The sequence below is a fragment of the Homo sapiens genome, chromosome 16 (genome assembly GCF_000001405.40).
Source record: "Homo sapiens chromosome 16, GRCh38.p14 Primary Assembly".
Classification (NCBI taxonomy): Eukaryota; Metazoa; Chordata; class Mammalia; order Primates; family Hominidae; genus Homo; species Homo sapiens.
This window is the reverse complement of record NC_000016.10, coordinates 83,597,461-83,616,255: the sequence shown is the minus strand read 5'-3', so window position 1 is coordinate 83,616,255 and position 18,795 is coordinate 83,597,461. Positions and strand designations below refer to the sequence as shown.

The 18,795-nt window shown below is 38.6% G+C and overlaps 1 protein-coding gene across 5 annotated transcripts in view; it reads right to left on the bottom strand.

The window, feature by feature from the left end:
• The window catches only part of CDH13 (cadherin 13), a 1,173,672-nt gene that overhangs the window by 184,385 nt on the left and 970,492 nt on the right, over positions 1–18,795 (bottom strand). For all 5 annotated transcript variants that reach the window (NM_001220488.2, NM_001257.5, NM_001220489.2 and 2 more), the window contains one exon: positions 13,662–13,802. In NM_001220488.2, coding sequence (NP_001207417.1) covers positions 13,662–13,802 — 141 coding nt within the window. The remainder of the gene's footprint in view (positions 1–13,661; positions 13,803–18,795) is intronic.

The following is an 18,795-nucleotide window of genomic DNA, read 5'->3' as shown; positions in this document are numbered from 1 at the left end:
CACTTAAAAATCCAGATGTTTTGACATTCCACACAGAGTTTATAATCAGCGTGGGCATTTCCAACAACGCAAGACAGCTCATCCTTGTGTGTATGAACAATTAAATCCAGGAATGCACATACCACCCTTTTCCTTAGTTGGAACTGTACTGCTTGGATGATGGCTTCTATTTGTAGATCGTTGCTTATATTTGTACAAACGTTTCCCTTCACTCTCTTTTATTCAAAAACATTCAGCGGCATACCTGCTGTTTCCAGGGCCTCCGATATTTGAACGCTGGAAGATTTAGTTGATGATTTCGTGTCTTCCTATGGTCTTGGTGCAGGAGAAAAAAGTGATGAACTCACCCCTTTCAAGTGAAGATAAATGTGAAATGAAGGTGTTGGCGGTTTTGCAGCAAACCTCTCTTCGATTATGTGATGGGAAGTTGGGAATGCAATTTGCAGTAGATGATCTCTTAGAGTCCTTGGACAAAGTGTTGGCCAGGACAAGAAAGAACAGGAAATGATGTAATCATGAGTGATGGCACTGTTTACAGAGTTGGAAACTGCTAGTACCCATGCACTGAAATCACACTGTTCTCTTCTCTCCAAAAATACCATTTCTTTAAATATTGATATTCCCCACCATTCTGTACAAAATATGAGATAGAGATCCCAGTAGCATATAGTTGGGTTGATTTAAAACCTCAGCCACACTGAAAACTGTCAGATATGTGATTTTACAGTATCAGGAAAAAAAAGCCTCACATATATCACTATAATAGCTATAAAAAGCCTCATAGGAAGAGGGAGTCTAGACTATTTGGAAAAACATTTAATCGGCTTCAAAGATTTATCTGGTACTTAAAATGTCTTGGACTCCACCCTCCAGAAAAGTCACTTGAGTCAGATAATTGAAATGTGTTCCATCTTCTAAGAAATATGTGGTTGGCTTTCTGGATTAATCTCTTTGGAGCAAGCAGAATGTGTAATTACGTGGTCGGGGTTTAGACACAAGTGCATCTGATGTTAAAGAGCTCTTCTCCTAAAGGAAGTAAACGCTTATCCAAGTAGGAGGCTTTTCTTTGAAGCACTCAAATATATTGCACGGAATCCTGGAGGACTGGATAAATATATTTACTTCAATTAGACTTCTGGCAAAGGGTGGAAGCACAAAGGTGTGTCTTCTAACTTCATAGCTGGAGTCACCAAACTATCAAAAACAGAGGAAAAGATCCCAAAGAGTTAAGGGAACTGTAGATATTCATGTCAAATCAAGTGAAGAATCAGAAAGAAAAGTTTAGCTTTCTTGGATTTAGAGTTCCCTTCTTGCTTATCGATATCATCAAGTAGGAGACACTTCAAACATTTTAAACTTTTACTGAAATAAGTTGATTTTGAAGCAAATGGTATGAGATGGAGTGGGTACTGTGAAGCCATTTAATTATATTTCTCCACATTTTAAATGAAAATATTATGCTTTCTGCCACAGGAATTATATCCGCACCATGTCTACTGATATTTTCCTGATACTCCAGATTAAAAAGCTAATCCAGATTTTTTCTCTCTTTATGATGATTGGGGAAAGCTTCTTCCTGACCAACCCTCAAATCTAGAACAACCAGGATATGGATTTAATATAAAACCCCCCACTTATTTGAAAGTGCCGAAGAGCTGGTAAGGCAGCCAATACTTGAGAGTCCAGGATCCTGGAGAGAAGGAAAATTCACTGAAGCGAGGCCAATATTCCATAGAACTTTTACCCTTGAAGGCATTTCCCAGATTGTGAGGGCAGAGGAAGAGCAGGCTAAGCATCTGAGCAGAAGGTGCTGTCTAAGAGGCCAGAGGGCCAAGGAGAGCTTTCAGCAGAGACAAGGGACTGAGAAGTGAAATGCAAGGTCGGCCAAAGTGGAGGAGCCCTGGAAACATACCAGACTTTCAGTTAGGACCCCAGGAAAGCTGCATCCGAGGAGAAGGGAACACTGGGAAGTAGACCCACCCTTGAAAAAGCCTGAGTCCCACCACAAACCAACTCCATCTCAGACTGACTTAAAGTCATCCTGTCCTACTCTTATCTGTTTACAGAAAGCAAAAGGGAATCCTCTCTGGGGGAATCATCAGCCAGAGCCTCTACTAATCTCTAAACATTTTCATATATGTTGTCCAAAATTAAATTAAAAAATTCCTAGGTATGCCAGGCGACTATAACCAATGACCAAAAACCAGGAGAAAAGGACTGATAATAGAAATAGACTCAGAAGTATCTATTAATGGATGCTGGAGTTAGCAGACATTGAATTGTAAATAATTTGACTAAAATATTCATGAAAATAGGTAAAATGTAGAATTTCAGCTGATAATTTTATTCAAAAAAGAATTTGAAATTACATAATTTAAAATATGAGTGTAATTATTATTTATTAATTAAAAAAAATTTTTTTTGAGGCAGACTCTCATTCTGTCATGGAGGCTGGAGTGCGGTGGCATGATCTCAGCTCAATGCAACCTCCAACTCTGGGGTTCAAGTGATTCTCGTGCCTCAGCCTCCAAGGCAGCTGAGACTACAGGTGGGCGCCACCACGCCTGACTAATTTTTGTATTTATTTAGTAGAGACAGGGTTTCACCATGTTGGCCAGGCTGGTGTTGAACTCCTGACCTCAAGTGATCTGCCCACCGGTCTCCCAAAGTGCTGGTATTACAGGCGTGAGCCACCGTGCCTGGCCTGAGTGTAATTAAATCAATAAATGGGTATAGTAGATTAGACAGAAGAGAGGATTGGTGAGCTTAAAAATAGCTCAACAGAAGCATAGAAAGTCTATATATATATTTATGTGTGTGTGTATATGTATGTTTGTATATGTATGTGTGCATACAAACACAAACACATTCATATATAAAATTAGGGTCCCAGTGAAGATAAAATGAGTCAGAAGAAATATTTGAAGAGATGGGTTTATGAATTGAGATATTTAAGGAACAAGTATAATTAATACGAATTAAACCACAGTTCAGCATGTCACAGTTAAGCTGCTGAAAAGTAAAGACAAAGAATGTTTTTGAAAGCAGCCAGAGAAAAGAGACACGTTTCTTTCAATGGAAATAAAAGTAACACTGACAGCTGACCTTTTGACAAACATGATAGATGTCAGAAGACAATGAAATGTTATCTTTGAAGTTCTCTAAGAAAATAACTGGCAACCAAGATTTTACCTCCAGTGAAAATATTCTTCAAAAATTCTGGCAAAAAAGACATTTTTTAGATAATATATGAGAGAACTTATTACCAGCAGACTTGCAGTATTTTTAAAATAAAAGGAATTTTTTAATCAGAGGGGAAAATTCTTCCATGTGGAAGCACAAAAACAGGGATAAATAAATAATAATACAAAGGGTAAATAAGTAGAAAAACATAAACTGATACAGAATTAAAACATAACAACAATATCTCAGAAGGTAGGAGGATGATAAAAGGAGCTCAAATTTTCTAAAGTCCTTGGATTATCCAGTAAGTCCTAAAAATTCTACTTGATGTTAGAGTCCAAAAGTTGAGAATATATATTGCAATTTCTCAGAACCCACTACAAGAATATGAAAATGAAGTATAACTAATAAGTTATTAGAGCTGAATATGAAATTATAAAAAAACCCAAGTAAATGTGAAAAAGATAAGAGATAAGAGGAAAAGAAATTTATCAAAAAGGAGCAACAAATAGAAAACAAATACTTAGACTGGTAGATTGAAACCCGAATATGTTGTACTTGCATTAAATGTAAATGGGCAAAATAATTCCAGTAACAATAACATTATTGGAATTGATTTTAAAAAATCAAAGCCCATACATACACCACTTAAAAGAGACACAGACTAAATATAAGATTACAGAAAGTCAGAAAGAAAAAAATGACAGAAAGAAATATACCATGATGACACTGACCAAAAGAAAGGTAAGATAATTATTCTAATACGAGATGAGATAAATGTTAAAGCAGAAAGCATTTGCAGAGATAGAGAGGTACATTTCATGATGGTAAAGAGTCAATGCATTAGGAAGATATAACAATTTTAAATTTGTATACATCTAATAAGACAGCCTCAAATTAAGTTTTTAAAAATTTAATAGTACCAACAGGAGAAATAGATAGATCTGTAATTATAGATATCATATCACTCTTTCAGTAACTGATACAATAAGCAGATTAATAAAACATATATAGAAGGTTTGAACAACAAAATTGTAAACCTTGGCCTAACTGATGTATATAGATCACGATACTAAACAACTACAGAATTAACATTATTTTAAAGCATTCATGGGCCATCTATCAAAATTGATTACATGTGAGCTTGTAAAGCAAGTCTCAGCAAATGTCAAAGGACTGTAATCATATAGTGGATGCTTTCTAACCACTGTAGAATTAAGATAGAAATTAATGGAAAAGAATAAAAAACACTCCCAAATATGTCACATTTAGCAATATACTTCTAGAAAACCACAAGTCACAAAAGGGACCCAAGAAAATTCAAAAATATTTTTGATCTGAATGATAATGAAAATACATCATAGCACATATTATGTAATGCAACTATAGTCATGCTTAAGGGAAAATTTATATAGTCTTAAATCCATACATTAGAAAAAAAGAAAGATTGAAAATCAATGATTAAAGTATCATTTCTAGGGAGGGGTTTGAAAAATAAATGGTGAAAGATACCCAAAGAGATAGAAGGAAAAAAACAAAGAAACACCCAATAGAGAAAAATCCACAAAACAAAAAGTAGTTTCTTTGAAAAGATTAATAAAGTGGATAGAATGACTCCATGGCAGGACCAACCAAGAAAAATAGAGAAAAAAAATGAAATGGACAAATTCCTGGAAAAACACAAATTGGCAAATTGAAATATACATAGTTTCATATCCATCAATGAAATTAAACCTTTGGGGTAGGCAAAAATAGAGCACAGATGACATTAACCATCAACCAACATTGGAATTCATTAAAATTGGGACTCTACCTTCATTCAGAGAGAGAAGAGGAAAGCCAGAGTGTAAAAAAAAAATTGCAACATGTATATAACTCAAAGGACTCACATCCAGAATAAAGATAAACACGTCGATAAGAGAAAGACTAATAACCCAACTTAAAAAATGGTTGAAAGACTTGAAAAGGTATTACCCAAAAGTAGAATCCCAACAGCCAGTGGATGGAAGATGGTCAACTTCATCAGCCACCAGAGAAATACAAATTAAAGCCTCAGGGAAATGTCACTACATACACATTGGAAAGGCTAAAAATAATAACAAACCAAAAAACTGATAAAACCAAATGTTGGGGAAAATATATAGCAGTCAAGATTCTCAGTGAGTGTTCCACTGTAAACTGGAGTTAACTACTCTGGTGGAATCAACCGAAGTTGAATTAGCAATTTCACCTGTAGATATACCCCAAACAGAAACACATATAAGCTTCAAATATGCACCAAAAGACACATTCAAGAATACTTATTCCACTATTACCTAAATTATCCCCAAACTGGAAATAACCCAAATGCCCACATGTAGTAGGATGAAGGAGTAAACTGAAATATATTTGCATGGTAACGAACATGAATAGATTACGGCTATGTGCAACAACATAGATAAGTCTCACAAAAGTTAGTCCCAAGGGTCCACACTATGATTATTTATATAAATAAGGTAAAAATAGGAAAAAAATTAGTTTATAGTGAAAGACGTCAGGAGAGGAGCTGTTTTACCGAGCAGGTGGTGGGACTAGCAGGAACCCTAGGAAGCTTTTGAGTTGCTGATCATATTCTGTGTCTTGATTTGGGTTTTGTGTTTGATCTGTTGAGAATTAAATCACTCAGGATTTGTGTACTTTTTTCATATGGAAGTTACATGACAAAAAGAAGTTGATAAGTCTTGAATAAGTCATATTAACTGCAATTTAGAAACGCATTTTGAAATGTTTCAATAAAACAACTGAGGAATTACAGATTACTAATTTGGAGTGATATTATGGGTACTTTTTTTTTTTATTCTAGCTGTTTAGGATGTGAGAGAAAACGCAGATAAAGACTTAATGACTTTTACATGAATGTTCACAGCAGCGTTACTCACAATAGCCAAAAACTGAAACTGCCTAAATGTCCCTCAGTGGATGAATGCATAAAATGTGGTATAACCATGGAATGGAGTATTATTCAGCCACACAAAGAAATGAAGTACTAAGACACACTAAAACATGGGCAGACCATGAAGACATAATGCTAAGTGAAAGAAGCCAGTCACAAAGGACCACGTATTGTATGATTCCATTCATATGAAATGTCCAGAATAAACTAATCCATAGAGGCTGACAGTAGATCAGTGGTGGCCAGCGTGGGGGAATGGGCAATGGGGAGTAACTGCTCATGGGTTCGGGTTTCTTTTTGGGACGATGAAAATGTTCTAAAATTAGACAGTAATGATAATTCGACAACTCTGTGAATATAATGAAAACCAATGAATTGTACATTTTAAAAGTGTGAATTTTATGGCATGTGAGTTATATCTCAATAAAGCTGTTAGTAAAAAACTTGAATGGCCTATAATCAAAAGTGATAAAGTTAAAAAATGAAATAAACAGGTATCCTGACATCATTCTGCCTCAAATAATTTATTAAGAGGAAAAGGTAAATTTCTAACACAAGAAATAAAATAGCTTCTTGATTGTTTAATAAAGCCACTAATGAAGAAGAATGAATCATAATAAACACATTGGAAAAAGATTTAAATTCTTGCCGATTTGATCTTCCATGCTCACTCCAATAAAGATAACATAAAACTCATAATATGCCTCATACGAGGATGTGGATGACAACTTAGCTAATATGTGTCATTGATTTAAAGATTAGTTTTTACACAAGAAGACTGGAAATTGCATAGTTCTGGGTTGCCCAATCTTTTGGCTTCCCTGGGCCATACTGGAAGAAGAATTGTCTTGGGCCACATATAAAATACACTAATATGATAGCTGATGAGCTAAAAAAAAAATCTCATAATGTCTTAAGAAAGTTTACGAATTTGTGTTGGGCCGCATTCAAAGCCATCCTCAGCTGCATGCTGCCAGCTCACAGGCCGCAAGTTGAACAAGCTTGGCATAGCTCATATATATGACAGAAACGTCCTTAAATTTGATGATATTCCTCAAAATGTGCACAAGTTTTCCAATAATAAAATGTGTTGTGAAAGCAAAAACAAAAAAAAAGTTTCTAAACTCTTGATGACACAGAGAAAATTTCTATCAACCCTGCTAGAAGAAAGCCTATACCTTTTGTTCTTATATTTCTATAGACAATGATCTTATGTAATTGTTATATGAAGAAGTGACCATAGAGTTTGCAGCCAGACATGGAAGAGAAAAACTATTAGAGGTTGTATTAGGCAGTTAATTAACACAATATTTTAATTAAAAATGCGAATACTGGCTGGGCACAGTGGCTCATGCCTTTAATCCCAGCACTTTGGGAAGCTTAGGTGGGTGGATTGCTTGGGCCCAATAGTTCAAGACCAGCCCGAGGAACATGGCAGAACCTCGCCTCTACAAAAATACCAAAAAAAAAAAAAAAAAAATACAAAAATTAGCCAGACATGGTGGTGTATGCCTGAAGTCCCAGCTACTCAGGAGGCTGAGGCAGGAGGACTGACTGAGCCCAGGAGCTTGAGGTTGCAGTGAGCCGAAACTATGATTGTGCTACTGCACTCCAGCCTGGGTGACAGAATGAGAACCTGTCTCAAAAAACAAAAAATGCTAATACCCCACAGGAAAAGAAGATACTTGAGGCACCATGTATTCTTCAGGACTCCACACTGACTTTTAGAAATTGGAGCCTGGACTCCAGCATTCATTTGATAACCTGATGTGAATTTCTGCCTATGGCTCACTTGCAGCTTGACAGCTCCTAACTCCTACCATTTACCTTTGTCCCTTTGTGAAAACTGGAGCATTTGCCCATCTCTCATTTTCCAGCTGGAGGACAGGATCTTATAAGTTTTATGTCGTTTTTATTATAGGTATGATAATGTTATAGCTTAAACACCAAAACATTTACCTTAGAAAGAACTCATTGAATTGCCAAAAAGTCCTAAATTATTAAATCTAAATGACCAATTGCCATTTTAAGGTAGAACTGGAAAATGAAATTTGAAATTTTCTGTTTTTTTTAAATTTTATAATCACTTGCAAACACATTCTTTAATTAATAGCGAGTTTATTAATCCCCATGACCTGAGATTTATGTGAAAATATGACTTATTCAATCAGTATTTGTTGGGCATCAACCATGTTCTAGCTACAAATCAGAAATCTTTTTTTTAATAAAATAACCTAAGAGACAAGAATGAAAAAGCCACAAATGGGGCTGCTGAAGTTTTCATGTATATTTCAAAGTCTGTATTTGAAGAGTTTAACTAGATTTTCTCAGATCATTTCAAAATACCTTATGTAAGAAGTTCAAAACTAACAGTTAGTTGAAGTCATACGTACAAGCTATTAGGAAAACTTATAGAAAACTCTCCACAGAGAAAAACTAGCGTTTCCAACCTAAATTTGCATGAACATCAATGACTGAAAATTGATTTCATGTATCAGCGGCAATTTTAAGTACAATCTTCGTTCATCGTATGCAGTGAAGCTGTTCTGAAGTTAAAATTATCTTCAGGAAGCGTTCAGCAAATGCTCTGTTATTGAGTGCCTGCCGGGATACAACAGAGGATAGGAGAGATGTGGCTGTTGCTTCTCAGCAAGTGTATAGTCATTGTAAATGAACACGAGAGGACTAAAGAATTGAGCTTACATGTTTTTCTTTTTTTTTTGAGACCGAGTCTTGCTCTGTCACCAGGCTGGAGTGCACTGGTGTGATCTCAGCTCACTGCAACCTCTGACTCCCTGGTTCAAGCAATTCTCCTGCCTAAGCCTCCCAAGTAGCTAGGATTACAGGCATGTGCCACCATGCCCAGCTAATCTTTCTGTATTTTTAGTAGAGACAGGGTTTCACCATATTGGTCAGGTTGGTCTCGAACTCCTGACCTCAGGGGATCCACCCACCTCGGCCTCCCGGAGTGCTGGGATTACAGGTGTGAGCCACCGTGCCTGGATGAGCTTACTTTGCAATAAGAATTTACTTTTAAAAGTAACCTTTAAAGTATCTCCTTCCTTAAACAAACACTATAAATGCAACATACCAACTGAAGACAACTGTAGTTATTTCTCAGCCTCCCTTACAGGTAAGGGAGGCTACAGAGATGCAAGCAGAAGTCACTTAGTCTTCTGGGGAAGTTTTCAAGTGACATTTACTCAGGTGGCCGGTTCTCCTTTGTTCTTCTCATTCCCTGCTTCTTACTTCCTGTTACTGGCTGTTATACCTGGTGCTGCAGTGACCCTATTGTACCACAAGGCAGCCGTGAGGGCGGCGGAGCAGAAAGCTAAGGGGAACCTGGGAAATTGATATCATGTCATTACCAAACTGGCCTGGGTCTGTCTACCTGCAAACTTTTTTTTTTTTTTTGAAACTGGGTCTCATTCTGTCACCCAGGCTGGAGTGCAGTGGTGTGATCATGACTCACTGCTGTCTTGACCTTCCAGGCTCAAATGATCCTCCTACCGCAGCCTCCCAGGTAGCTGGGACTACATGCCTGGATAATTTTTGTATTTTTTTTTGTAGCGACAGAGTTTCACCATGTTTCCCAGACTGGTCTTGAACTCCTGGGCTCAAGCAATCCTCCCACTTCCGCCACCCAAAGTGTTGGGATTACAGACACGAGCCACCACTCCCAGCCTTCACTTCCAAACTTTTAAGTGAGAGAAACTACCTCTATTTTGTTCAACAGTGTTATTTCTAGTCTCTATTATTTGTGATCAATCATAACTCCTCTTTTATATAGATTTCAAAAACAGATAAAAGGATACATCTCTCCGGAGAGGGAAAGTCATGTAAGATAGAATTTAAAAACCTCATATATTCCCAAAAACCATGTATTCTTATCAACTTCGAAATGTCCTAAGATATGAAAAAATTTACTTAGGACAACATCTCCTTAGAGAGCTTTCTGGACATCCTCAACTCCAAATGATCACCATTTCTATTTTGGAATGACTAAACCTTGATTTTCATCTCTAAAATTTGTTTCAACTTCAAGATCATAAGCCCCATCTTTCCTCTCTGTTTCTAGGGCATCCTGTTTTCCTACCTCTTCCATATCCTAGAGGCCACTGCATCTGAGCCAGTCCTCATTAGGAGCTCTCCTCTCCCCAGCAGGTTTCTCTTGGTCTCTCTCGCTTTTGTCCCGAGGCCTGATCTCATAGTGATGCATTTTACAGATTCTGCCACCTCTCCTGCAGAATTGCTTCTCCCCTAGAACTCTAGGGTCCTAACCATGTATTTTGAAGTGCTTGAGCAGATTCATATGTCACTTTAAAGGAAAAGAGTAGCCTTTTAACCTGGAGGGGAGGTGGCCCTTTCGATAAGAATGTCAATTTGGCCTCTGACATTTTGGAAACATCACTGTCATAATAATATCTTTCTCATCACAATCTTCTTCTTCATCATGGCCTTCCTCCCACCATCCTCATCAGCGGTGTCATCACCACTGTCCTCATCTCTATACTTTAGAAAATACTGGGCGACAGGCACTATCTAGGTTCTTTTAGTCATTAGCTCATTCACAATGACCTAATGAGGTGGGCTCTGCGATCAGCCCGTTAACAGGTGAAGAGACTGGGATGTAGAGCACTTAACATGCTCCCACCACATGGCTGGTCAGTGGGATGTGAACCCAATTCCGGCTCCAGCGCCCCCTCCTTACTTCTCAATCACATTACCCCCAGCAGTGTTACTATCCAAAGTGTATGAATCCCCTTCAACAAAGAACATCAGCCTTTCAGGAACACGACAGAAAGTTTAATCATGAATTTAAATTATCAAACATTGGGCAAAGACTCCTTTGGGACATTTAATATCCAAATGAGAGTCTAGTGTACTTGTTATCACTTCCTTTCATCTGATTACTTATCTCTCTTTATGAGTTTAGGTATCAGCTCTGCCTTTTGGGAATCTCAAACTCATTGTCTAATCTCCATTTGAAGAAAATGTGTGTGCTTTTGCTGGTATTTACAGGCAGATACATTTTCCTTATGCTACTCAGTGTCTCTTTTTTCAAAATTTATTTTTTAAGATTGACAGATAACATTGTATGCTTTTAGTGTTTACAATATGATATTTTGAAATCAATATGATATTGTGGAATGGTAGCTAACCTTTAGAGTCCATGTTAAATTATTCCTTGGATTCAATGACATTAAAAACAATAGTCTGTCATTCACAGTGTTTAGTCCACAACTGAGCAAAGATTTCTTTTTTTCCTAAGTCACAGGACCCAAATTCACAGTGGCATTGAAGTAACTAATTAATCTCACACAGCTGGTAACACAGATTCATCTTCATATTTTGGGTTGGGGTTATCCTATTTTTGTTCCCATCGTTAAGTTTATATTGAATATTACAATGTGCTCTGAGTTTTTATTTTGAAATAGGTTGAAAAGAAATTATAAAGATAAACAAAAATCCCCCAGTGAACATTCCATGAAACACCAGCTCCATAAGCCATATAAGGTAGCCTAGAAAAAAAAGCCCCCAGGCCAAAGAAGAATGAGAAACCCCACAGACCATACCTAACCCTGTTAGAGAAACACAAAGCATTTTAAAGTTAATCAGAAATCCTGCAGTTAAATAAACCATTTAAAAGTAATCAATTCAGTGTTTCCCACATCTACTTGACCCTGAAGTATATTTTTTTCATTCCTATCCCCACCCCGGTGGTGTAATTTTTGTGACTAATTTCTTGGAAGTGAATTAGAATTGTTTGGAACTAATTAGAACTGGTGTTCTTGAAATGCCAGTTTGGAACCATGGCAAGAGTGAGCAGTCTGTATTAGCAGCTAGAGGAACCCTGCCATGGGAAGTCAGAGAATGGAGCAAATCAAGCTCCCGTGGACTTTGCTGTTTTGAGGTTGGAATCCTGAGTGCCCAAGACACCACAGGGAGAAAGGGGGACGTCTACCTCCTGAGTGAGCCATGCAGGGGGATGCCGAGGTGAAGAGGCTGATGTGGCTTGGTTCTGCATCCCCACCCAAATCTCATGTTGAATTATAATTCCCAGTGTTGTAGTTGGGGCCTGGTGGGAGGTGACTGGATCACGGGAGTGCTTTCTAATAGTTTAGCACCCACCCCCCTAGTGCTGTCTCATGATAAAATTCTCATGAGATCTGGTTGCTTAAAAGTGTGTGGCACCTTCCCCTTTGCTCTCTCTCTCCTACTCTTCCATGTGAAGATGTGCTGGCTTCCTCTTTTGCCTTCTGCCATGACTGAATGTTTCCTGAGGTCTCCCCAGCCAGGATCCCTGTACAGCTTGCAGAATCATGAGCCAATTAAACCTCTTTTCTTTGTAAATTACCCAGTCTTAGGTAGTTCTTTATAGCAGTGTGAGAATGAACTAATACAGAGGCCATTGGGGAACTCGGGGGTTGAGAGGATCCATCTGTCTCAAGCCACCCTGGGTAGCCTTGAGATTCCTCCAGAGAGCAGTGGGGCAACTGCAGGTCCCTATATAGGTTTTTTTCTCCAAACACCCTGGAGGTTGGAAGCATTGATGGCAGATGAGGAAAGCACAGCATCACAGTTAGGACTGCAGCTTTTGAATCACAGGAACCTGGTTCACTTCCTGTTTCTGCCACTTTTTCTGTCCATGACCTTGGAGCTTGTTCTCTGGATTCTCTGAGCATCACAGTAAGCTCATTTGTAAAATGGTAAAGCCAGGCTCACACAGTCAAATCAGGCAACAGATCTCAGGGGGAGACACCATGGTAGATACAGTAAAGACTCTGCAAAAGTCAGGGGCCATCGTACCTATTCCATATTCTTCACTTGGTCAGTAAGAAGGGCATCAAATCCATGCCCTGGCCCAGGCCCCTAAAGAAGCCACAATCTTAGCACATTTCCATCAGAATGTGCTTAGTGCAAATGGCTTCCTGGTTTGGGTACAAATTTAGCAACTGAATGTGATCTTGTGTACTCAGCCCTTCCCCAAACATCGCTCCCTTGGAATAAATGGGAAACAACAACCATGATCCATAATCATAAAAGCACAGGGACTGAGAATGAATAATGGCTCTCCTGGATGAGCTAACTTTGTTGTTATTTATAAGCTCCTGGGCCACATTGTTATGGACTAGGAAATCTGCTTTACCTCCTTGCTACTGTTCCGTCTGGCCTCTCAATCTGCACTTGCTGGAAAAAAATAGTTATTGTTATGCTAAAATCACAGTGGGACTCTCATAACTCACTGCTAAATAACAGCAATAAAACTATGAAAATGGCACTTGGGCATTAAAAGTTATTTTCTTATGGACTTTAACAAGATTCAGTGCTCTTGTTCTCACCGTGCTCTAGTATTTTAGCCTCACACACAAACACAAAATAAAAATGTGAGAAAGAATTCCAGCAAAACACCATCGTCTCTCCCACAAAGGAGTATTTTGATTTTGAAAGGGGGGCCAGCAGGTGCTGTGGTACGTGAATTAACATCAATCAGTAATTGTAGCTGTGACCACAGTGGTGGTTGGTGTTTGGCACAGGGGTTTACCTCTTTCTTGGTGAATTTTGGTGAGTGATCATTTTTGTCATCGATCATGATCGTGGCTGTGGCCGTGCCTGTTAATCCAACATCCAGTCCAGCCATATCTTGAGCCTCGATGATCAGTTCATACTTGGGATTTTCCAGAGTCTACAAAGCACAAGCACAAAGAAATAATATGACATTTAGATTTGGGTTACTGCTTTGGAAAGGTGGCAGGCGTGTTGCTGGAGCTGTCTCTCCCCCTCCTCCATCTAGGGTAGGCATCTTTAAAGAGTGATAACATTTTTACCTATTGTGTATAAATGTGCCTTTGGAATCTCTTCAATATAAGACAGTCACTATTCAAAGACTGGAGTTTGCCATGGGGACAATATATTTACTGTTCTTTTTTAGGGAGACATTTGATATATCACAGAATGTTCCATTTCCTGGGCTTGGGTATACATTGTCCTTTGGGTTTTTTTTTTTTTTTTTTTTTTTTTTTTTTTTTTTTGTTGTTGTTCTTTTTTTTTTTTTTTGAGACAGAGTCTCACTCTCTAGAGTACAGTGGCGCAATCTCGGCTCACTGCAACCTCCGCCTCCCGGGTTCCAGCGATTCTCCTGCCTCAGCCTCCTGAGTAGCTGGGATTACAGGCGCCCATCACCATGCCTGGCTAATATTTGTACTTTTAGTAGGGACAGGGTATCACCATGCTGGTCAGGCTGGTCTTGAACTCCTGACCTCGTGATCTGCCTGCCTCAGCCTCCCAAAGTGCTGGGATTACAGGTGTGAGCCACCACGCCCGGCCCCTACGTTGTCCTTTAATGTTTACATCCATATCTGCTATTTCAGAGACCTCAGGAAGCTGATCTGAAAATGAGGTTACCTTTGATGATGAGCTTAGGACAAAGATGGCAGCTTTAGGAACTCACATTTACTGAAAATCTGATGAGGCAGGCATTGCATTACCTCACTTTATAGAAATCCTTGTTAATCTTTTCAACAAGCAGCTCAACTTGCAATCATTGTTCCCATTTTACAGATGGGGAAGAAACCCCACTGAAGTTTAGAGTCACTTATACCACACTTCTTTCATGTCTTTTTTGTCGCACAGGCTGTCACATGTGGAAGACGCATTTAATCCAATAATGATTTGATAAACTTAACACAAGCAATATTGCACTATTCTCTCTCTTCACATAAGTGTTTTTCATCTCAATATTTGACAAAGATTTGGCTATCATGTTTATATACTCAAAACAACTAGCCAAATAGCCCTGATCCTAAGATGAAGAAGAGTGCAGTCATTGGTAAATAACAGCCCCTATATTTAAATTATCTTTGGTAGTAGGTTTCTGCTTGAATTGGTCCACAATCATACCATTCATCTGGTAAGGCAGCACCCCGCATTTCCTTTGGGGACCTATCCTTTACTTCTTCTCTGCTCATGTGGTTTGGGTTAGGATTGCCTTTCTCTATCTCCTACCGATTGAACTTTTGGAATGAGTCCTAATTAGAAGAAGTCAGTCAGTGCATCTTATTCCAGTGATATAATGTTAAGTCCAGGCCCTGTGTTTGACAGTTAGGTGAAGGAAGTTCTGTTTCCCTGTGGTGTGGACCTGGAAGCATTTGGCAGGGGGAGCTAGAGGAGTCATCTCATGACCACAGGAGGGGTAATGCAGAAGAAGACCCTGCATCCAAGAACAAAGGCAATATCCTAAGAGAATTAATTATACTGGAATCTCAGAAAAGAAATGGTTCTTAGTGGTTGTACTGGAGCCGCTTCATCATGCCACTCCTGAAGCCAGACCCGCCTGTGAACTTTTCAGCTAATGAAGGCAATAATTTCCCTTATTTGCTTAACTCACGTTGGACAGATTTCTTAATCATCACACAGAGAGTCCGAGTTGAACTACCTTTAGTAACAAAAATAATAGGTGTTTACAATCACATAAATAGTCCTACCAGTATGACAGCTTCAAAAACAGCTGGTTATACCAACCAATAATTAAGAAATACCACAGGAAGCAAGGAACAAAAAAGCAATGGAGGATGTCCAATTTTCTTCTGAAGTCCTAAGTTTACATGGTAAATTTCAATAGCTCAACGCTAGCTCTCTCAAAAACTTTTAAGTATTTTGAAGTGCAACTGGCTGTCTGCTCATAGGGACACCATTCATTGCTGTTCCTTTAACTTCTGAGTGGTTTCTGAGCTACTATTTTAAGGAGTCCTGGTTCTGCTGGGTGGTTTGTTAAGGCCCTCCACTTCAATTCACGGTGATGAGTGGGAAGTTAGTGTGCTCCTGTGATGGCTCTACGCCTCATGTTTCGGTTTCAATTCCAGCTCCGCCAGGATCGAAGGTCACACGGTTCTCTGACTGCTGAGTACAAGTGGAATTGACACCGTACCCAGTTCCAGTTCTGGCTGGGTCAGCCGGCGCTGGTCTGCGAAGGTGCTTGAGATGCCATCTGCCCTGGTTCTGCCTGGTTCAAGAATTCTGGTAATTTTGCTCCTGGCTGGTTTCGTTGGCATCTCTCGGTATAGATGCTTGAAATCCCATCTATTCTCAGGCTGAAGCTGGAAAACTTGAGCCTAATGGAAGTGGCTTTCTGCTTGTCATCACTGACGAGCTGGACTGCATGTACTATTGGCTATAATTTCTGCAGCTGGACCATATGAAACCAGTAAATTGGCTACCTTTAAAATCTTTCCCGAGTGTCTCTGAACATGTGAACCACTACCCTGGACAGCACAGGTCTAATTTCTTGCATAACGCTTTCACTTTTGTCATAAAACATTGTTACTTATTTTTGAAAGCACACAATTACTGACAAAAAATTATGTGGATTCTCCCCCAATATTGAAGAGATTATGGTAAATATCATATTATTTTTCACATATAATATTTACCAATATAATTCCTAGATGTTATTTTAAGGGTTGCCTACAATATAATCATATGTATATTTTATAATTTACTTGTCTTCTATTATTAGGCCTTTTGGTTATTTGTGGTTTTCAAAATGTTGACAATTTTAAATAACAGTGCAATTAACATCTTTATTCATGAAGGCTTATATACATTTTGGCTGCTTTTTAAAAATTTTTTTGGTTTGTTTTTGACTGATAGATCCCAAGATGTGGAATTACTAGGATAAAGAGTATGAATGTTTTCAGGCTTTTTATTCATATTTCAATGTTTTTATCCAAGAGGATGTTACTAACTTTTATACCAGTCCTACGAGAATGTTTAGCTTTTGATCTCAGACAGGGCTGGTCTCTAAAGGACAGCTCCTGACATTGCGCGGTGAAGCAAATTGGGAGACTAGGGTGACTCTATGATGGTGGCATAAGAAGGAGATAAAGTTCTCATAGCATTCATTCTTCAACTTCCAGTACAGATTGCTGTGGGGATGTGCTACAGGACTGCCTCAAGCACTAACTATAGCAGGAGTATGCTGCTTAACTGTCCTGATACCCACTCCCTCTTCTTCTGGTACCTATGTTATAATTCCCTCGGGCATCACCCCTTCCTCACCCTCAGTACAGGTACAGTTCAGGTGGGTGGGGCTGACCCCACTCCTGATCTAGGGATGGTCATATGGTTCAGGCCTGGCCAATCAGGGCTTTCCATTCCTATCATCATGCGATGAGGACATAACCTAAGTGAGTCCACCCTGGGAGTGAAATTCAATTCCAGGACATTGTCCTTTAGTTCTTTCAGAACGCTTAGGGAAAGGAAGTTATCTTTCTGTTAAACTTGGAGGTGGTTAGGGCATCCATCTGGAGCTAGTAGTGGCCACCTGTAACCACACAAAGAAAGTCAACCTGAGAATGAAGGAAACACAGACTAAGAGGTAGAGATGGAGTTTGTTGTTGTTGTTGTTAATCATCATTCAAGGATGAGTTGTCATCCTTGAAGCCAGAATTTATTCCTTAGATTTTGTGAATTCTATGAGCTAATACATTTTGGCTTTCCTCAAGACACTTGATTCAGATGTTCCGTAGGTAGGAATAAGGCAGTTTTGACTAATATTGCAACTATTGCAATAACACTATGATCAATTCTCTGATTAGCAAGAAAGCATAGGAGCTATCACACCATACAATAGCATCAAAATAGGTTCTTCAAAACAGTATTCCTATCATTTTATGAATACATCGTTTTCTCTTTTAATACTTTCCCTTAAACAGAAAATTTTTTGTAGCCAGGGAAAGTTACTGTAATTATCTATTTAAAAATATTTATTTATTTTGAGACAGGGTCTCACTCTGTCGTTCAGGCTGGAGTGCAGTGATGTGGTCATGGTTCACTGCAGCCTCTATTTTCCTGGCTCAAACAATCCTCTCACTCCAGCCTCCTGAGTAGCTGGGACTATAATCACACGCCACCACACCCAGCTAATTTTTGTAATTTTGTAGAGACAGGGTCTCTCCATGTTGCCCAGGCTGGTCCTGAACTCCTTAGCTCAAGCAATTTGCCCACCTTGGCCTCCCAAAGTGCTGTGATTATAGGCATGAGCCACTGCACCTGGTCTAATTCTTTCTTTAACTAGTTTATGCATCTATTTAATTGGCAGTTAATGAACTTCTTGTCTAAATGTCGTGTTGGATACTAGAGATACAGTGATCAAAAAACAAGTCTCTTTCTCCAAAGAGGTCAAAGTTTAGCGTTGAGGACAGTCATATTCACATATGAGTGCAATAAAATAAATCAAAGCTTAGCAGAGGTATGTACAAATTCTTACGGTAGCACAAGGGAAGGATACATTGGCATAACTCTCGTAGTTCAACAAATTTTATAAATAATTTTAGAAAATGAACCAATTTCTATCTCCTGAAGTAAATAAAACTTTGCACCTATAATGAGAAATAGACTGATTAACCTAGTAGAGAATCAATTAGACTGTTATGTAGATAAACTGCAAAGTTTGTGATGAGGTTTCAAAAGTCTAAATTTTCTGGCAAACTTAAGGCTGACCTTAAAAATATTTTTAGTACTGAAGTAATATCCAATTATTGTAAGCAACATAAAAATAAAACAGTCATTTCAAAGAACTCTCCTCCACCCTTGCCCAACCCCACCTGTGAGAGGTAAATATTGATAGTTATCTCCTTTTTCCTATACAAGTGGACACACACGGAGGTACATTTTAAATA